The 22,112-nt window shown below is 41.6% G+C and overlaps 2 long non-coding RNA genes across 3 annotated transcripts; one reads left to right on the top strand and one right to left on the bottom strand.

Moving 5' to 3' along the window:
* On the top strand, nucleotides 361–20,306 carry PANCR (PITX2 adjacent non-coding RNA). Of its 2 annotated transcripts, NR_147204.1 has the most exons (4): nucleotides 361–512; nucleotides 9,521–9,609; nucleotides 11,546–11,768; nucleotides 12,387–12,458. It is a non-coding gene; the product is annotated as a PITX2 adjacent non-coding RNA (long non-coding RNA). The 2 variants fall into 2 exon arrangements; NR_147203.1 differs by lacking the exons at nucleotides 9,521–9,609; nucleotides 11,546–11,768; nucleotides 12,387–12,458 and adding an exon at nucleotides 20,011–20,306.
* LOC105377363 (uncharacterized) lies at nucleotides 2,316–4,476 on the bottom strand. The gene is made up of 2 exons (XR_939071.3): nucleotides 4,426–4,476; nucleotides 2,316–3,506 (listed from the first exon to the last, which is right to left on the bottom strand). It is a non-coding gene; the product is annotated as an uncharacterized LOC105377363 (long non-coding RNA).
* Nucleotides 20,307–22,112: the final 1,806 nt, after the last annotated feature.

The following is a 22,112-nucleotide window of genomic DNA, read 5'->3' as shown; positions in this document are numbered from 1 at the left end:
TAACGAGACCTGCCCGGAGGATTTAGGTCTCCTGCAGGTTGGTGAGTGATTTGGGAGCTCTGGGTAAAAGAGGTGTACCTCGGCCTAGTTTGGTTGCTGAACTAGAACAACGCGAGGACATCAATCAATCTGCAGGAAACAAAAAATGGAAGTCGAGGTTTAGGAAGAGTTGTCACTTCCCCGACTTGAGTGGTGCAGGCTGGGGGCGGAGACTTGGGACCTAAGAGAGGCCATTTCTCTCACCTCAGCTCCCTTCCCTTGGACTTCCAAAAGGAATAATTTTACTCTCTCCTCCGTTCTCCCCACAACTCTCATCCCCGCTAGCCCGCAGGCCGCCTGCCCCTTTCCGCACCTCCTTTTCCCATCCAGCGAGAGAAACCTAGCTCCCAGAGCCGGTGCAGTCAGTCCCCTCGCCCCTCCCGCCCCTGCACGGGTCCCCCTCTAGCCGTCGCTGCAACCACCACCTCGGTTCCACTCAACCGATTTTTGCTGCATGTCAACACTTATTACCGGTGAGTGTGAGGGTATTTTTTCTCCTTCTCTAGGTCTCTTAATGATTTCTGAGCTAGTTGTGTATTAAAGTGCTTAAAGGAACCTTTAACATAATCTATAGCATGAGCACCAACCTTCCCCGCTTGGGTTCAAAAATGGCGAGCTCGAGGTTGGGCCCGGAGGCGCCCAGGCCTCACTGGCCTCAGCGCACTGCCGCCGTGCTCCTTGAGCGCTCAGAGGTTCGCCAGGCCTGGGGCAGGAACCCCGCGCAGACGATCCGCCGTCTGGGGGCTTTCTCCCCGCCACCCCCTTCCATCCCTCACCTGTTACTAGCAGGCACCTTTTCTTCTCTCGGTATCTTTGGCCTATCCTCGGGTTTTGTTTTATTAAAAAAAAAAAAAAAAAGTAAACCTCTTTAAAAATTTCCAAGGCCCCAAAGTCTTCATTCCGCTAATACCGATTTCAGATTAGTGGAGACCTGGGAAAAGGTGTATACAGCCCATGATTGTCTCTCCTTCCTCCCAATTCCTAAATCTGAGTTTTAGTGTTTACGACTTGGTTAGAAATTTAATTTTTAAAAACATGTTGGAGAGCCTGGGCCGAGTAAGTAGTTTGATTAGAAGGCAAATTCTCTTCGCCTCCTTGCCCTGCTTTTTCCCTCACCCCCACCCCCTTTCTATTAGATGCTGAAGCCGGGGGGTGTAGGGGTGGGGGTTAGGAGTGTAACAAAAAAATTAATGGGACAATATAAACAGCGTCTTAAAAGTCCTAATATTCCTCGAAAGCCGTATAAATTAACCCTGTGAAGAGTGAGCCCTTTTAAGGCGAGTCTATAAAAATCCAGCGTGATCTCGAAGGAGGACGACCCTTCCCCCAATCCCTGTCGCGAATGTGACCAAACAAAGGTCTGTCCTGCAATCCACATCCTAATCCACGGATGCCCCCGCCGCCGTCGCCGGGACTCCCCAGCCTCCAGCCGCCCTTAGTGGACGGAGCTACCCTGGGAGTCCCTGGCTCCGCGACTTAACTTTTTTAGAGAGGGGGAAAAAAGGAGGGGGTGTAATTAGATCAGAGGCCTTTATGAATATAGACTCCCTATTGATTGATTTATAAACCCCCTGAGGAACTGCAGTTAATCTAAGCACACCGGGAAGCAAGAAACGTGGTTGACTGAAGAAGTCTGGAAGTAAACGAGAGGAATTTCTGGTAGCAGATTTTCAGAAGGAATTTTTTTAAAAATAGCTTTTCTTCCCCAGGTTCCCAAACATTTCATTAACTGAACTTGAGAAAATGGTAATTCGAGTTTTTTTTTTTAAGGGGGTTAAGTAGAAACACCATTGTAAACACGTAACTGATTTACCTTTTCAGGTTCTAGCAGATGAACCCAGGGAAATTTTACTCTAATCTTAAAAATTTATCACACTTGGCCCCTCCCACCCTTCCCTGCCCCCTCCCCAAAGGGAGGACTTCCCATTGTTGACTGTCTATCTGAAAAGATAGAAAGCAGAATTTACTGTGTTTGGGATGCATAACTTCATTCACTTCTGTGCTGAGTATTTTATGCATTTTTAAAATGTAAATGTTGATTTTAGATTTTTTTGAAGAGTAGAGAATCCTGCAAGAAATGAAATACCCCCTGAAGATATATTTAATTATACTTAATTACCTTTAAAAGTCATTTCTACTCCTTTTGTAACAATACATTTCTACAGTTCAGTGGTAGTTGTGGAAAACAGGAGCTATTTGAAGCTTAAGTTACTCTGCAGAAGAATGGCTATAAGAGCCATCTAAATTCCTTACAATTAAAAAAATTCAAAAACATGTAATGACTACATGGTAAAAGTGTTTACTTTTTGGTGGTAGTGAGAGGTGCTTTTTAAATTTCCTTCCTTCAGAAGGACTAAGAGAAGTTCAGACTCACTGGGCTCTCCCTGGGCAGGGTGTGTGTCTGCACCCTGGGACTTTGATGGATCTTTCCAGACCTAGTTCTTCTAGTCTTACGGCAAAAAATGTTTAAGGTGTTTGCCCTCCCTCGTGCTCTTTTTCTCCTCCATCCTCTCCCTCTCCTGTTTTCTTTGTCCACAGCCAAGGTTTGGTTTGGTTTGGTTTGGTTTGGTTTGGTTTGGTTTGGTTTGGTTTTTCCTCCATTCATGCAACTGAGGAAATGGCCCGCTGATGCTGGGACCTGACGTACCCACACTAAGGCATGAGGGTGGATTCCTCACAGCCCGGAGACTGCCTCTGCCAATGCTTCCTCTCTCCAGAAACAGCAAAGCCTCTCTGCCTCCGCTGAGAGTTTGCAGCAGTGCGGGACCCCCTCGCACACAGTCCTGGGCAGGAACTTTTATCCTCGTCGCTCTGGAAAGATGAGACCTAGAACCACCACTGCTGTCCCCCAGAAAGCGGTGGGCAGCTTATTGAATGTGACTTGGGACCCATACCAGTGGCAGCCCAATTCTTGGGCGCGTTTCCCCGCTCTGCCTGTGTCAACAGCCCTCGAAACTGCTTCTGCTTCTCTGGGCAGGTATCACGGGGAGTGTGCGTGGGGAACGGCTTGCTGCACCCAATAGAACTTCATGGCATCTTTCTATGTCCTCCCGGATCGAATGCAGGGCCTTCTCGGCGTCTCTTCAGAGGGTGCCTGCATTTGGTTGCCCACGAGTCTCCCCGACAGCTTCACCCCGCTGTGTGTGGGCTCGGGGGATGGAGGTGGGGAGCCGAAGGGAGAAAGAGGACACCAAAGTGGACAGAGGTGGAGACCCTGCAAGCCATCCCCAGAGCTAAGAAATGGGCTTTGCCTGTCAGAGCCTAAGGTTGCAGACTACGGATCACTTTGTTAGAAAATAAATAATATCAAGCAAAGTAGAGTAAAATAGAACCCTTCTTCTGTGGGTGCTAGGCCTCGGGCGATGTTCATTCACAGGACACTCCTGACGTCAGTTTCTCCAGCTACCTCTTGAAATCCGTGACATCGAAGGAGACGTTCTTATCTGATGAGGCGGTGTCTTGTTTATCTGTTTCTCCGAACACGAGAGAAAAAAAAGATGAATCTCTTGCGAATGCTGAGCTGCAGCTCTGGGCTACAGCTTCCCGGCGCGAAGTTCCCCGTCCCGGATCCTCCTTCCTCTGGGTGGCCGGGCCATCTTGTCAACCGCCATGCGCCAGGGGATGGATGTTTGGACAGGTGACCAGGACCTTTTGGACCCATGAATTCCGTGGGTACCACGCAGCCCATCCCTTAGAACGACCCGAGGTGCAGCCGCTCCACCTGAACGTGCCCCCGGGGCGGCTTTTCCTAGGACTTCATTGGCCGTCTAAACCGGGTTTTGGGTACAACCTCGCCCTACCGCTTTCCATTGACTGAAACAGCTGCTTTATCTTAATGTTCAGTTTTTGGCCAATGACATGGGGAAAGGGCGGTGGTGGTAAGACTTACTGCCTGTCTCCCTTTACCCTGACGGTATTTTCAGAGGCACTAGGAGAAGCGGGAACCCGGAGGGCCACCTACGCACCTCCGGGGTCGCCCTCTTGGCCCGGGCACTAGAAGTTTGCACGTCCCTCCGGCCAAAAAAAAAAGGAATCTAATCTGCAGCTGCCGCCGCACCCCCACTTCCCGCCCGCATCCCTAGCCCGAAGTCTCAGGCAGGGCATCGCAGCCCACACGCTCGAGCTGCACCGACCGCCCGCGGGGTCCAGCTGGGGCGAAGCAGGGGCCCTAGAGCCTGCGCTCGGCACGCCCCCGCACGCGCCGCTGCTCCGGGCCTGGCGGGCCTCCTCGTGGGCGGTCTGGGCTCAGCCCTGGCGCGGCCTTGCTGCTGCGCCTCCAAAGATCGCGCACCAGTCTGGCCCACAGATGTGACCACTTCTTTGCCCTTTTCTAGTCCACCCAGGGAGTCCAGGGCCGGAGGAGCCCCCCGCCACATCCCTTCTCACCCTTTCTCGGGCCTCCGCGCCTTCACTCCCGAGCAGCCATATACCTTGAATGGGTCATGCCTGCCTGCCTCCTTGGAGCTGCCTCTCGAGGCCCGGGGGTTGAACATTAACCAGCTGCGGGAATAGACTGGGGTAAAACGTTACGTATAAAAATGAATCATCTATCCGGTCCTGGGAGAGAGGACCTATAGAGAGTTCTGCACCTAGAGCAGCCCCAGCCTTGCCCCTGGCCCAAAGTACCGAATCTTCTGGAGGCCACTTATCAAGGACCGTTCAGCCGCAGGAAGCGGAGGACAAATGAGGGACTGGAGGAAGGGGGGTGACTGAGTCAACCGTTCTCCTTGCGGAGTTTGAGGTTCAGGGCTTCTAACACAAGAGAATTTCCTTTTCTTTCACACTTGAGAACGTGTGAACAGCTTTTCATCTCTTATAAAAGTTAGTGGGGGAAAGCTGGAGTCTAGGAGGAGCGGCTGTCCACAGGGCCGAGAAAGGTCGCTCTGCTGCCATCCCTGGCGCCCGGGGTGGGATCCCAGGAGGCAGGGCTCAGTGGGTTGGGAGTGGCAGCAAGAGCCCCGGACCAGGGCCTGGGGACGAAGGGGAGGCGCGCGGTGGGCGGTGCAACCGGCGCCCGACCTGGCCCTCGGACCTGAGACCTCGCAGAAGTCCTGGCTTGAGGTCGCGCTGAAGTCCTAGGCTCCTATCCGATCCCACCCACAACTGGTCTGGACCCTGCCTCCTTCCGACTCTGACCTATTTGTTTTTTCTTTACACATAAGTAATGGAAAGTAAAATGATACGTCTGCACTGACTTATGTGCTAGGCCCACGTGCCCAGTCAAAATATACAGAATTTACCAAAAGATAACAGAGCTGAAGGAAGAATTCAAGACAGTGCACATCCTAAGTTCCTGTGCCCTCACCTGGAAACATTACTGACTCAGGCACTGAGCAAATTCCTGAATAGGAAGATGATTCTGTTTCTGTATCTCTGTCTCTCTCCCTCTGCCTAACCTCTGTTCCCCCCGTCCCCCGCCCCCATTGAAGAAAAATCTGAGATAAGGTGGGTGCAAGCAAAAGGGAGATGTGATATTATTAGGGCTTTCAGGAATTGCCAGCCAACCTGCAGAGCAATTCCTGTACCTCTTAAGAAGATTCTTTTTTTCTTATACAAAATAGTTTTATTTAAATGCATGCCTGACTCATTATAACCTCTTAGTGTGTGTGTATCTGTATATATATATACACACACTATATATATATATATATATATATATATTTTGAACAGATGGCACACTCCGCCTCAACCTGGACCCTACCTCTGACTTGTTTATTGGAACAGAAGTTTTGCTGAGAGCATTCACTCAAATCTCTATACTTAGGGGTGTGAGAAAGTGGCTGTGCTGGTGTGCATGTCTGCTGAGAACGCTGCATCGTTGCATTACTCTCAAGGTCACATCCTAGCTTCTTCAAAGGCCACTGCTCCTGCTTCAGTGTGTTCACAGCCTGTATAGTGATCCTGAGAATTTCTGGCAGGGGATGGAGGGTGGCAGCGGAGACATGCAGTAAACAAGGCTTTCCAGAGTCTCAGCAGGCATCAACAATGTGACAAGTGCTGTGTATGTGTATTAATTGGACATCACCAATCAGTTCGTTCTCAGAGAAAATGGCTTTCTGTTTAAGATGTGGTTACAGAGTGTTCATCACTTCATGTAGTGTCGCTGCTCTAACTGCAGTGCACACAATGCTCTATGTCATTCCTACAGAGCAATACAGATCAACTTCGTCAGCACCCAACTTTATGTTATTCCACTCTCCCAAGAAAAATAGAATTGACTCAAATGTTCCACTAAGTTAGCTCTAGAGAGACAATGAATGCATCGAAGCAAATAAATACAAAGAAGTATGAATCACACGCTCAGTTGCTTTTCAGTGACTTAGAGACAGAGAAACATAGGTGGAGAAAGGGCATTTACTTTTAAGGGTTTGAGTAGTTGGGGAAAGGAGTATTCTAAAGGGTATTGCAGTGTTCACTCAAACCCTCTTCTCCCCCACCAAATTACCATGTTATCTGACACCCTCGATCTATTTGTGTCCTGGGTAACAGACAGTTTGACCAAGAGGTCACAGACTAGAGGGCTTGGGTGACTGGAAACAAGTTTGACAAGAAAGGAATCTGGGTGGGGTGCCACCATGGAGGTGGAGAGAGGATGAGGCCACAGTGGCTGGAGCAGCCTGGCAACACAAAGTCTCTGCTGGACACCACATTTATACAAAATGCCTTGTCAGAGAATGCTGGATTAGGAATAGCTGTCAACACAGCTTCATGGATGAGAGAAATTGAAGTCTCTCTCCATTCCTTTTCTTTACCTTCCCTTTATTTTCTACCTTCTTCATTTCCTCCTTTTATTATTGCCCTTCTTCTACATCAGGTGACTCTCCCCAGAATTTTGGCTGCTCCTGGATTATGCCCTGCTTATCCTTTCTTTTGAATTAAGGCTTCAGATTGTTTGTAGTGTTCACTTTTCCAGGTATGATACATTATTTTATTCAGTCAAGAGTCTACCTGTAAACCATTTGTACGTATGAATATGGAGTACTTCTATGAACAATACAAGTTTCTGGTAGAATAAGTAAAGCATGCAATATTGTATAGCTTGTCTTTTCAGAGCACAAAAAGGACTGTGCACACTCTTTAATAAAGCCCCACTGCATGCTGGAGAGGCTGGGAGAGTGAGTGAGCAGGCTTCTTTCGCCCAGGCAATATGACCATTGGCATTATGGCCACCAAAGTGGGAAATCTCCAGTTTGCCATTCTCACCTTGAAAGCTCCTCCTCTCCTGAAACTACCATCTGTGGACTCACACACATTGTCAAATTTGTGTGTTCCAAGAAAACACTGAAACAGTTTATAAAGTTGATGTACTAAACTTTACATATCTTTCACACAAATGCATTTGTTTTTCTTGTGTTATATCCTCTTTTTATTGGCTCGGCAGTATTTTAATGTGATTTCTCTTCCTTGTACAGTTGAGAAACACCTTCATTGTCATCCTGCAACTCATTAGATTAGAACTTGGTTGAAACATCTTTTATTCCACAGAAGGGCTGCCCCATTTCACCCTCCTTTGGTTCCTTCTTTTCCTTTCTAACTTCTTCCAAAATCTCACTTAAAGGTTAATTCTAAATCTCATAACTCTCTCCCTTTTTACTTTTTCATTTTATTTCTGAGCAATTATTGTTCCCATACTCCCAAACTAACTTTCATCCATATTACTCCTTTGGCAATTACCATATGGGGTGTTTTATTATGAGTTAAGATTTTGCGGGTCTTTTTTTTTTTTTAGCTTCTTGTGGTGGCCTGGCACAATACCTTGTAACGGAGTAGATGTTCAATAAATGCCTATTGATCAAATGTTACAATTAAAATCTTTGTTCACAAAAATAAAAGTTCAAAAACATTAAAGTCTATTGAATTGGCATAAATTGAATCTCAGATTAATTCTAATTAATTTCTAATCCTTTTCCAAACAAACTAGACATGTAAAAGAATTCTTTAGCAGAAATTCTGTCATAATGTTTTTCAACACTGCCAGCATCTTCCCTACATCAGAGCAGTTTTAGGATGGTGAATCATGATCAGGGTTCATAAGATACTGAACACATTTTAGTATTTCCTAATATATTATTAAAATAAAGAAGTTTTAAAAAATCTAGTTTGGGGAATATGTGTGGTAAGGGGAGTATAAAAGGGTGGGAGACACGTAGATGACAGAAGTTTCCAGCTCACGATTGTCTAGAGTCATTTTACTAGTTAAGGGATTATGATGTCCAATTCTCCCTTACTTTATGCTTTTTAAAATTTCACTGCTCACAATTTGTAGTAAAATATATTGTATCAAAATATATTATGGACAAAGTTTTTTTTAATTCTTAGAGACATAAAAACCTAAGAAATTAAAAATATTGATCCAAAAACAACAAAAAAAGATTTAACCCAGGCTGGGTGTGGTGACTCATGCCTGTAATCCCAGCACTTTGGGAGGCTGAGGTGGGTGGATCACCTGATGTCAGTGGTTTGAGACCAGCCTGGCCAACATGGCAAAACCCCATCTCTATTAAAAATACAAAAATTTAGTGGAAGACAGTGTGGTGATTCCTCAGGGATCTAGAGCTAGAAATACCGTTTGACCCAGCCATCCCATTACTGGGTATATACCCAAAGGAATATAAATCATGCTGCTATAAAGACATATGCACAGGTATGTTTATTGTGGCACTATTCACGATAGTAAAGACTTAGAACCAACCCAAATGTCCAACAATGATAGACTGGATTAAGAAAATGTGGCACATATACACCATGGAATACTATGCAGCCATAAAAAATGATGAGTTAATGTTGTTTGTAGGGACATGGATGGAGCTGGAAACTATCATTCTCAGCAAACTATCGCAAGGACAAAAAACCAAACACCACATGTTCTCACTCATAGGTGGGAATTGAACAATGAGAACACCTGGACACAGGAAGGGGAACATCACACACTGGGGCCTGTTGTGGGGTGGGGGTAGGGGGAAGGGATAGCATTAGGAGATATACCTAATGTAAATGATGAGTTAATGGGTGCAGCACACCAACATGGCACATGTATACATATGTAACAAACCTGCACGTTGTGCACATGTACCCTAGAACTTAAAGTATAATAAATAAATAAATATATATATATATATATATATATATATATAAATAAAAATACAAAAATTAGCCAGGAGTGGTTGTGGGCACCTGTAATCCCAGCTACTTGGGAAGCTGAGGCAGGAGAATTGCTTGAACCTGGGAGGTGGAGTTTGCAGTGAGCCAAGATATTGCCATTGCACTCCAGCCTGGGAAACAGAGAAAGACTCTGTCAAAAAAAAAAAAAAAAAAAAAATACTTAACCCAATCAGACTTTGATTAGGGTCACAGACCAAATAAGTTACAGTTATTTTTATTTCTGCTCATTTTTGTCCAGTAGGCCTCACATATTTTTGATGAATTTCTGGGTGGTAGAATATTCCTTAGAACACTGACCATATCCACTTCTACTTTCCAGCTGTTACCTAAACAACAAACTAGACACACTTCACTGCAAACAGTGGGAAGAATGGTGTTACCTTTGATGAAACATCCATGGAACATTTGGTAACTCTTAATATATACCAAAAAAAAAAAAAGTTTCACCTCATTGTGCTAAATAAATAAATAATACATATATAAACAAACAAATAAATAAAATGATAGGGACTGGAATGGTAGAGAAATTTTAATGAATTTTGATGCAGTGGGTTTTGCAATGCCTGCAGAACTTTCAAAGACCCCAGTCTCTAGTGGAAAACCACTAGTCCTGGTCAGCACTGCAGGGAAGGGTAGATGGCTGGAGATTCCAGAAACCAAGGGGGAAGATGACTGGGAACTCACAAAAAGGTAACAGATTTGACACATTATCTTTGGTTGTCTCAGTCACTATAATTTTAAAAATTATCTACACTCTCATAAAGCAATGGGTCAATATTATTTTCACAGTACTCTTTTTTTTTTTTTTTTTTTGAGACAGAGCTTCGCTCTTGTTGCCCAGGCTGGAGTGCAATGGCATGATCTCTGCTCACCGCAACCTCCGCCTCCCAGGTTCAAGCAATTCTCATGCCTCAGCCTCCCAAATAGCTGGGATTACAGGCATGTACCACCACTCCCGGCTAATTTTGTATTTTTAGTAGAAACAGGATTTCTCCATGTTGAGTCTGGTCTTGAACTCCTGACCTCAGGGGATCCGCCTGCCTCGGCTTCCCAAAGTGCTAGGATTACAGGCGTGAGCCACCGCACCCAGGCTTTCACAGTACTCTTAACATTTTTTACCTTTATTTTATTCATAACCATCTCTAAATATAACAATATACAGTGATGCAGAAGATAGTTTGTTGAGTACTTTCTATGAGCCAGGAACTGCGCCAGTGCCTTTGATATGTTAATATTATCTCAATCAGTTCTCACAGCAATCCTATAAAGTAGATAATATTATTTCCTTATTTGACAGATAAGAAAACTGATTCTCAGAAGTAACTTGCCTCAGGCTGCCTGAGTAATGAGTGTCAGAGTCAAAACTAGAATAGGACTCAAGTTAGGCACAATATGACAGGACCAAAGAACTGCTAGTCTTCTGTATCACTTTCTGCTGATGTGATTAGAAAATATTACTTATAAATTAAAAGTGTTATGAAAATAGTATTTCCTAGTTATCTTATGAGTAGTGATTGAAAAAGATAGAGATTATAGTAACTGAGCCAATCAAAGGTAAAGATGTTTTACTCTTTCACGTGTGTTTCAGTGCACATTTCCTACACTAAAGCAATGGACAACTTGTCAAGGCAGTTTGACATGTGACATTTTAGACATGATAGGAAAAGCAGCCAACTTGCTGATATTAAGGAAAGGATATATACACACACACATATGTATACACATACCTCCTTTATATATATACACATATAAATACAAAAATATACACATATATACGTATGTATGTTTGTGTATATATACATATATATACATACACACATATCAGTTGGCATAAGATCAAGTGATTTTTTTCCTTGGTCTTGTACATTATGACCTGTTCACTCCTTTCTTGCTTCTCTCCACCCCCATTGACCCTTTTTGAGGCTAACTTCAGATCTCAGCTTAGATGTCCCTACTTTGAGAAAGGCCTCCCTGACACTCTGGCATTAGGTTAGGTCAACGTGCCCCTCCTGTGTGTTTCCATGACCATATCAAAGCACCTAACACACTTTTATGAACTTAACACGTTTGAAGATTAGAGATCAGTAATTTTATAGCATCTCACAGCTTGCCCTTTGAGCTATTTTTGCATGATTAGATTCAGATTATATATTTTTTATGATATTCAGGATATCATAGTGCTGCAATGTTCTTACTGCGTCATATCAGGAGGCACACATAGTGATTTTTCAATACTTGATTATGTTAATTCATTACTTAAGGTGGTATCTGCTTCATTACTTTAATGTTTAAAAGTTATTTATTTGCTTCTCTATTAACATTATGCTTTTTCCATTGTAATTAGCATTTCATGAGCAGCTTTATGGTGAGAAATTGAAACCTCCTGCCAACAGCCATGTGAGTGAGCTTGGAAGCAGATTCTCCAGCTCTTCAAATAATGGCAGCCCCAGAAAACAACTTAAATGCAACCTCCTGAGAGTCTCTGAGCTAGAACTACCTAGCTAAACTGCTGTGAGATTCTTCAACCTCAAAACTGGGATGAGATAACAAATATTTATTGTTTTAAGGTGCTAAATTTTGGGGTAATCTGTTGCTTTGTAATAGTTAATACACCACCTACATTCTATATTCCCAAATTTTTCATCACTTTTCATCTATTATGGTCTCTCTCCTCCTCTGCACTTGGGGATTTATTTATTTTTTCTTTTCTGTTGCCACTTTCATAGCACTCTGGGGAAAACAGAGAGAAACAAATGTAGTCAATTCACCAAATTTTACCTGAAGTCCAAGGAAGTAAATATTAAGTGCAGATTTGGAGGAAGGAAGGGATAGGACTTGGTGATGCTGTGTAAGAAAAGCATTTGCGCCAGAAGAAAGATGAGATAAACACTAGAAGGCAAAGAAAAACATTTTATGGAAAATCGAAAGCAACTGAAAAAGACATCTTTATTTCACATTTAGTAAATATAGTTATGGTTTTTAAAAATATAATCTTAGAAACACTTATTTTGTCTGCCCAGCTCCTCCCCCCTTTCTGGAAACAGAACTGTCCTCTTTGGGGGGAACCCGTTCTTCTCTTTATTTGTGCTATATTGTTCTAATGGATGCTGCCAATTCTAGAACTGATCTCTTGTGTCCACAAGAGTAGGCACGTGAGCTTGGCTGCCTTTTGTGTCCTTCCACAGGAATCTTCAAATGATAATTTTGAAAAGAGAAGCAGTCCTTTTCATGATGAAGAGATGAGTTGTCAAAAGCCCAGGTTCTCCAGGGCAGAAGATTTCAGTCTCTGGTAACACAGACTCAGAGAGAAGCACGGATGAGAGTTGGAGGGAGAGAGAGTCCTGCTGTCTCTCCTGTCTGTTACTATGATCCTGGAGGTCCAGTTAAATGCCCTTCCTGAGATTTTGCTACTCTGGTCAGCATATTTCCTGTTTTGCCTAAAGTGGTTCAAATTGGGTTTCTGTCACTTGGAAAAGACTTCCTGATTCAGTAGACTAGTGTTCCCTCCCTCCCCCATAAATAATCTCTCCCCCAGAGAGCAAATAAAGTGCCTTTGAAGTCAGGATTTGGGATAGTCTTTTGGAATCCTCAGATGTTCATGTGTAAGTAGAAAAATTTCATCTTCTAGTGGCCCTCTACAAACACTGCCTGGGAATTATTGAGGGGGTGAGGAAGGAGAGTTGTGTATACACACCCACACCTGTTAAGCTTTTTCGCCAACACAATAATATTTATTGGAGATCTATTATGTTTCAGGCACTTTCATAAACAGCTGCTCTACATTAGTCCAAGACACTAGATTTTCACACTGTTCCTAATTATAGATGAGATGATATCTTTAAAATAAAAGATGTTAAATATTAGTCTTTACAAAATGTAAACGTTATGAGTAAAGATTAGGTGCACCTTTCCATACCTTCTCCAGGTTTAACCTACCACTATTTGGATGTCTCTTTTGCTTTTATAAGTTTATCCCCCAAAAATGTAATGGAATTTCAAATATAAATTGCTTGAATGACTTGTTTCTAAAGACAATTTTGAGAAAGATGATTAAAAATAAACAAAAAAATTGAAACAAACTATAACTAAATAGCGTGACTTGCCTTGAAATTCTAGCTTTATTCATATAAGTTTGTGTCCCCACAAGAAGCAGACTCAAAACAAGTCAGCCTAAATCTATGTAAACAGATTTAGGTTAGGGAGAGTGGTGATGTTAAGGGCATTAATTCCAGCTTTGGTTATTACTTTGAAACTTGGACAAACAGTGTTTGTCCAGTAATTTCTCATGTACTTTTTCCCCTCTTAGTCTTCCTGGGGGAAATGGTTACAGTAGCCTAGAGCACTCCTCTGAAGAGATATCCACACTGGCAAAGGTACCAACTTTTCACTTTCGCAGTGGGTGGTCCGGCACAAAAATTCCCCAATGGCTGAGAATCTGAAGCCTGCCCAGGCCTCCCATAAACTTCAGTATTTAAACATTTTTATATGTAATTTAAGATGTGAACTATTAGAACTAACAGTAGGTAATTGGCTTTTTCCAGTTTTCCCATTAGAAAATATTAAGGAATTCCCAGCATATTCTGTTGTTAAGACGATGACACAGTCTGTGTCAAAAATTAAATTTCTTCCCACTCACTTAAAAAAAAGCAACATCTTATTTCCTTACTCTACTCTGCCATTTCTATCCTCTCTGTTATATCTAAGATTTTTCTTAATTGTTAAATACAAGTGCATATTTAAGATGTATCAAAATTAATAATATGTTTTTGTTTTCTAAATTGTTTAATAAAAAGTTGTTGAGCACTATTACAAGGCTCTGTGCTAGGCACAATAGAGGATAAGAAAATAATTATTTATTAAGGTAAGTGTTTTGGCAAAGTGTGGTGGCTCACACCTGTAAATCCAGCACTTGGGGAGGCTGAGGCAGGCGGATCGCTTGAGCCCAGGAGGTCAAGACCAACCTGGACAACATGGCAAAACTGAATCTCTACAAAAATTAGCAAGGCATGGTGGTGCATTCCTTACTCTGGAGGCTGAGGTGGGAGGATCACATGAGCCTGGGATGTCAAGTCTTCAGTGAACTGTGATCACGCCATTGCACTCCAGCCTGGGCGACAGAGCAAAACACTGTCTCAAAAAAAAAAAAAGTGTTTTGTACCTAATTTATATCTCATTTAATTCTGACAACAAATCTATGAAATAGGCATTGTTATTCCCATTTTACCAATGAGGAACTTAAGGTACCAAGAGATTAATTAATTTGTCCAAGATCATTCAGTTAGTAACTGGTAAAATTGAATTTAAATCTGGGATCATTTGACCTCTAAAGGTTTTTCTCTTAACCACACTATACTGTGCTCCTACCCAGCACCCCCAAACCAATGTATAATACTTAGCCAACTCATTTCATGATGATTCCAACTCAGGAAGAACCACTTTTAAGTAAGGCAGATGTGTTAACTACTATGCATAGAATGATAACCTGTGCTCTCAGGATGCTTAAAATACACAAGAAGAGATAAATCGTGTAGGCAAATAACTGAAATTTATGTTAGAATTCAGTGAATACCTTAGGAGTGGTACAAAGTATGATAGACTTTCAGAAAGGATTGAGAATACTTCTAGCTGGGAGGATCAAGGCATCATGTTTGAGATTTCTTTTGATTTTGGCTTTGAAAGATGGGCAGGGTTTTATTTTTTATTTTTATTTTTTTTGAGATAGAGTCTCGCTCTGTCTCCCAGGCTGGAGTGCAGTGGCACCATCTAGGCTCACTGCAACCTCCGCCTCCTGGGTTCACGCCATTCTCCTGCCTCAGCCTCCCGAGTAGCTGGGACTACAGGCACCCGCCACCATGCCCAGCTAATTTTTGTATTTTTAGTAGAGACGGAGTTTCACCATGTTAGCCAGGATGGTCACGATCTCCTGACCTCTTGCTCTGCCTGCCTCGGTCTCCCAAAGTGCTGGGATTACAGGCATGAGCCACCATGCCCGGCCAGGCAGGGTTTTAATAAAAGCATCAGAAAATCATTTCAGGCAGAGTAAAAAGCATAGTAAAGTCTTGATAATAGGCCTGGCACAGTGGTTCACTCCTATAATCCTAGCACTTTGGGAGGCTGAGGTGGAAAGATCACTTGAGCCCAGGAGTTTGAGACCAGCCTGGGCAACGTGGTGAAACTCCGTCTCTACAAAAAATACAAAAATTAGCTGGGTGTGTTGGTGTGCCTCCAATCCCAGCTACTCTGGAGACTGAGGTGAGAGGATCACTTGAGCCTGGGAGGCGGAGATTGCAGTGAACCGAGATCACAACAGTGCACTCCAGCCTGGGCAACAGAGTGAGACCCTGTCTCAAACAAAAAAAGAAGAAAAGAAAAAAAATGAAGACTTGATGGTAGATGTGGGATGAGTTTGGTGAACCAAGAATAATCCAGTGTGAAGTAATAGTGGAAGATAAGTCTGGAACGCTAAACTGTGACTAGAATGTGGCAGACATAGAAAACTAGGCTAAGAAGTTTAGAGTTTATTGTGTAGGCAGTGAGGAGATGGGATTTCCATTGGGGTTTCTGAGCAGTGAATAAATGGAAAGAGGCTGTGCTTTAGTGAGTTAATGGGGCAAGAATATGTGGCCAGATGAACTGCAACAAGAAGTAAACTAAAGGGTTTAAACTGGGATTATGGTAGAGAAAAAAAGAAGACAAAGCTGAGGAAGACCACCAAATAATGGATGAGAGGGTTTAGAGAAAGAACAAGTAACTTCAAGTTTTTGAATTTATGTGACTGACTGAATGTTATTAACAAAACTCAGAAATGCTATTTATTTGAAGAGGAGTTTCTTAAGTTGGATGAACAAGAAAGGGAATCACTCATGGCAAGGCAGCTATAAAAGAAATAAAGTTTTGGAATTCCAGCATCAGGAAGCCCAGACGTTTGGTAAAGAATGAAACAATCAACATGTTCATCTAAGATTGACCTTACTGAGAGATCAAGAAATGACAATTGTTATGGTTTGCAAGGCAGCCAGAAGCTTGCCTCAAACTTTTCATTTATTTGTCAACTTTATCAGGAAATCTACACCATTAGATAGTCTATTATAGATTAAGGCATTGACAACAAATGTTCCCTAAATTTTATTAGAATGTCCAACTTCTTCCTTATCAGAATTAGTCAAAGTTTGATTGTATAGTTGGAGATTTAAAAATACTCTCAGTTTGGAACACTGGGGGGCATTTTTAGGGTGCCAAGGGAAGGTTCCCTGGGGAAGGAGGAATTGGATACTGACATGGTTTGGCTGTGTCCCCACCCAGATCTCATCTTGAATTCCAACGTATTGTGGGAAGGACTTGGTAGGAGGTAACTGAATCATGGGGGCAATTCTTTCCAATGCTGTTCTCATGATAGTGAATAAGTCTCATGAGATCTGATGGTTTTAAAAAGAGGAGTTTCCCTGCACAAGCTCTTTCTCTCTTTGCCTGCTGCCATCCATGTAAGACGTGACTTGTTCCTCCTTACCTTCTGCCTTGATTGTGAGACCTCCCCAGCAACGTGGAACTGTAAGTCCATTAAACCTCCTTCTTTTGTAAATTACCCAGTGTTGGGTATGTCTGTATCAGCAGTGTGAAAACTGACTAATACAGATACCAAGAGACTTCAGGGCATAATCTGTCAATAACTGATTAACAAGTTCATCAATTAAGAAATATTTGTTAATGATCTACTGGAAATAAGGCACCTTGCTAAATCTAAGGGGAGAAAACAACAACATTGTCTGTATTCTTGATGACTTTATCCTACCTCATAATTTTGCCAGAGGCTAGTATTTTGTGTACAACTCTAGCAATTCGATTATAAGTTTCAGTTTTCCAAATTAGAAAATTTAGAACTTATAATCTTTAGTACTCACTTCTTAAGGTTTTTGTCAGTATAATTAATCCAGCCTTTAAAAAAATATATTAGAGTTCCTGGTGAACCTGGAGTTGCCCACTGCTTAGTATACTATATTATCATAGTGCATGGGGGAACTGGACTCCTATTTATATCTAACAAAAAAAAGTGAATTTAGTGTGTGTGTCATTTCTATAATAGTGCAGGTAAAGATATATGTACTTATTTTATGAACTTTGTAAGTGTATGTAGGCCTGGAGACACAAGTGTTTAGCAACATTTTTATTAATAAGTTGGATTTCAAAAATTTTATAACTTAGCATGCTTAATAATTCAAAGCTCAAGAGTGTTGTTGATATGACAGAAGTAAAATTCAAAAAAATCTGAAGAGGTTGAAATACAGAACTAAAACTACAATAAAAACTTAATGATACATAGGGGTACAGTTTAGGTTTCAAAAAATCAATTAATACCTAAAGGGATGAAGTATCTCAAAATTAAATTATTAGAGACTTCAGTGAATATGGTAGCCAGCCTCCACAATGGCCTCAATGATTCCAGGCTCCTATAATTAACGTTCTCCTGCAATGTCATGCCCCACCCCCCCTTCAATGAATGAAGTTTCCCTATGTAGCTAATAGAATATTGTGGAAATAACGATGTGTGCCATTCAAGGATAGCACATAAAATATACAGCAACTTTTGCCTTGCTTTCTTTTTGATCACTGTCTCTGGAGGTAGCTGCCATGTTATGAGGACACACAGACAGCCCTAAGGAGATGTCCATGTGGTAAGGAACTGAGGCTGTCTGTCAACAGCCAGCATGAACTTAACAGCCATGTGAGGGAGCATCTTGGAAGCAGAATTTACAGCCATGGTCAAATTTTTTGATGCTGCAATTTCAGCCAATATCTTGAATTCAACCTCATGAGACACCCTGAACCATTTAGCTAAGCAGCTGTCAAATTCAGGAATGAGATAATAAGTCATTATTGTTGTTTTGAGTCATCAAGTTTTGTGGTTATTTGCTACACATGAATAGATAACTAATATATTTGGAAGTGAGTTGCTGCCATTTTAACACATTTTAAGTATATAGGAGAGGCACTGGAATTAGGCAATGGCAGAAACTGAAAGATGTTGAAGAGAGTGTTAGTGGAAGCTGAAAATGTCTTCAATAGACTATTATTAATAAGCCTGACATCTCTGAGGAGGCTTCTGCTGAGGAAAACATTATCAGAAACTGGAGGAAAAGGGGATAGTTTTAATATAGTGGCAGAAAGTTAAGCAATACAATTACCTGCAATACTGTGGAACTGGAAATTGTATCTAATAAAATGGATGATCTAGGTAAAAAACTTCCAGTCAGAGTTTGGAAGGTGCTGCTTGGTTTCTTCTTGTTGTTTATAGTAAAATGTGACAAAGAAGAAAATAAGCTAAAGGACAGATTATCAAACCACAAGAAGCTGAGACTTGTTGGCCTTGAAAATTGCTAGCCTCTCAAGATGGGAAACAATGCTAAAATAAAGAAATGGCTTCTGGACAAAGACCAAACTTAGACATTGCCAGATGTCAGACAACCATGGTGTAAAAATGAAGCTGAGGATGTGGTTATAAAATACTTTGCTAAGACCTTAGAAATATCTAAGGTTGTACTTCAGAGAACCATCAAGTCACATTAGAGCTTCAGAGAAGCTTAAGAATAATCTCACCACAGGCTTTAAGTAGAGCAGAGCTTATCTCAAACAGATTTGCAGGTGTGGCTTTTGTATAATGGAATTAACTCCAGTAAGATTCACAGGAGACTCACAAAGTTTTTCAGAGTATTTAACTGTTAGAAACATCAACAGTTTGGACTGAAGAGAACAAAAGAAAAGAGGCTTTTGTACCTCCAAATTCCTACAGGCAGGAACCAGACTAGGAAAAATATACAGCTGCAAATCTAGGCTACTTTTCATGGAAAAATAATTTGGCTCTGAAGGTAAAACCAAAACTTCAAAGGTCTAAGCCAAAGTCATAGAAAATCATTCCCAAGAAGCAGTAGGAATGAGTACTAGTGAAGAGCATTCAATATTTGCCTAGATAGATTTCAAAATTGCTATGGATCAGTGACTCTTATATGCCTTTTGTTTTCCACACTTTGAACGGGAGTGTCTATAGTGGTTATCTTATTTATGTCCCATCATTGTATGTTGGGTGTGTATGTGGGTAAAGAAGAGCATACTTTTTAGCTCTTTAGTTCACAGATCTTCAGATCAAGGAATTTTACTCAAGGAACTATACTCGAGGAACCACACTCAAAAAGCCTTATTCACATCTAAGTCTGTTTGGGACAGCAAGATTGTAGGATTTGAGATGATGCTGTAATGGAACAAGATTTTTTTTTTCATCATGCATCTTACATTTTATTTTATTTTTATTTTTATTTTATTTTATTTGATTATTATTATACTTTAAGTTTTAGGGTACATGTGCACAATGTGCAGGTTAGTTACATATGTATACATGTGCCATGCTGGTGTGTTGCACCCATTAACTCGTCATTTAGCATTAGGTATATCTCCTAAAGCTATCCCTCCCCCCTCCCCCAACCCCACAACGGTCCCCAGAGTGTGATGTTCCCCTTCCTGTGTCCATGTGTTCTCACTGTGGAACGAGATTTTTGATGGCCTTGAGAATATGTAAGTATTCTTTGCATGTGGGATGGAGGTTAGTCATTGAGGGATAGAGGTTAGACTCTAGTGCCAGCCTCCAAGATGACCTCCAAATAATCCCTGCTTTCTGATACTCAAGCTACTGTGTAGCTGCCTCCCATACTGAATAGAGCTGACCTGTGCACCAATGGTGTATTTTGTTAATGACAATGTGTGATTTCAAAGGCTAGCACATAGATATTGTGGCTTGGAACTCTCACTTTCTCTCTGTCTCAGATCACTCATTCTGGGAGAAGACAACCGTCATATCATGTCATGAAGATACTCATGCAGTCCTATGGAGAATTTCATTGGTAAGAAACTGAGCTAGAATGAACTTGACAGCCTTGTGAGAGAGCCATCTTAGAAGCAGACCTTCAGCCTCAGACAGCTTTCAGAGGATTGTAGCCCCAGCTGAAACATCAACCACAATCTCATGAGAGACACTGAACCAGAATCACCCAGCCAAGCTGTTCCCAAATTCCTGAGCCATAGAAACTGTGTGAGATAATAAATGTTTATTGTTGTTCTCAGCCACTACATTTCTAAATTATTTTTTATTTATTTTTAGACATAAGGTCTCACTATGTTGCCCAAGCTGGGGTGCAGTGGCTATTCACAGGCACGATTGTAGCAAACTACAGCCTTGAACTCCTGGGCTCAAGTGATCCTCCCACATCAGCCTCCCAAATAGCTGTGACTACAGACATGCACCATGACACCAGGCTAAGTTATGGGATAATTTGTTATGCAGCAATCTCAACATGAGGCAATGGTAAGACTGTTTAAAAATGTTATGTGTTTTTTGGCTACATCAATTGAATAAAGGTTTCATATCATCTATTAATAATCCACTTCTAGACTTACACTAATGTAGGATATTGTTTATAGCTTGAGTCGTATAGTATGACAGACATTGGTAAAGATATTGAGAGTACTAAAGTACTATCAAGATAGTGAAAACAACAAAATATAACATAAGGAGTGCTTCAGTCAACTGGTGATGTTTAACCTTGAGTAGACTAAGGAATTACATGGTATCTATACATGTATGTAAAGCAGTAGTGCAGGGAAGAAATAATACATATATTCTGCATATCCTGTGTTTCTTCAAAGGGGAGAAAAATAACAAAAGGCTAAATGTTGTAGAATGGTAGATCTCAACAAAATATATGGAAGCATTTTTTGATGCTTCAAATTCTTTAACAAAATAATGACTTCCACATTGGAAACATTGAAACATAGGCAGGATTACCACCTATGAAAAAGGTAGTTCAGAAAAATCCTAGACTGGAATGTTGAATAAACTATACAAAATGGCCATGAGGCTGCTTTCCCATTTGATCTAAGATACACTTAGTTTTCTGCAATAAACCAGCAAATTTAGAGGCATTCCCTTACCCAAAGCTCCAAAGTACTTAGAATACCATCTTAGGTGACACAGTGAACTTTCTGCAGATCCATGGAATGTTATTTAAGTGTTTTCCCAGTTAACACCAGGATCTAGATATGAAGTAGAAAGACCGAAAGACCACTACAGAGGAAGATACCTCTCATTAGTATTTGGTCTAAAGACTTTTTTTCAAGGCTTCTCCAGGATAAATGTATTTCTTGAAGCTAAGATTCAGATTCAGCTTTGGCTTCATTTTAAAGTAAAAACACTCTGGGTTAGAATGATTTCTAAAATCTAAAGCTAACTTGCATATCACATAGTACAAAGAAGATAAGCACAAATCATTTACTGAGAATCATTTATTTAATACTGTTTGAGGCTTATCAGGAGGGTCCATTATATGCCATACATGTGTTAAACTTTCAGTCAGTAAACCATAATTACACAATTCTTCTTCTTCTTCTTCTTTTTCTTCTTCTTCTCCTTCTCCTTCTTCTTCTTCTTCTTCTTCTTCTTCTTCTTCTTCTTCTTCTTCTTCTTCTTCTTCTCCTTCTTCTTCTTCTTCTTCTTCTTCTTCTTCTTCTTCTTCTTCCTCTTCTTCTTCTTCTTCCTCTTCCTCTTCCTCTTCCCCTTCTTGTCTTGCTCTGTCACCCAGGCTGGAGTGCAGTGGCACAATCATGGCTCACTGCAGCCTTGAACTCTTGGGCACAAGCGATCCTCCCACCTTAGCCTCCTGAGTGGCTGGGCTACAAGCACATGCCACCACACCAGCTAATTTTTAATTTTTTGCAGAGATGAGGTCACTACATTGCTCAGGCTTGTCTTGAATTTCTAAGCTGAAGATATCCTCCTGCCTCGGCCTTCCAAAGTGTTGGGATTACAGGCATAAACCACCATTCCTGACAGGATTTTTTTTTTTTTTTTTGAGACAGGGTTTCTCTCTGTC

This window comes from Homo sapiens, chromosome 4 (genome assembly GCF_000001405.40).
Source record: "Homo sapiens chromosome 4, GRCh38.p14 Primary Assembly".
Classification (NCBI taxonomy): domain Eukaryota; kingdom Metazoa; phylum Chordata; class Mammalia; order Primates; family Hominidae; genus Homo; species Homo sapiens.
The sequence above is the reverse complement of the archived record's forward strand: the minus strand, read 5'-3'. Positions and strand labels throughout refer to the sequence as shown.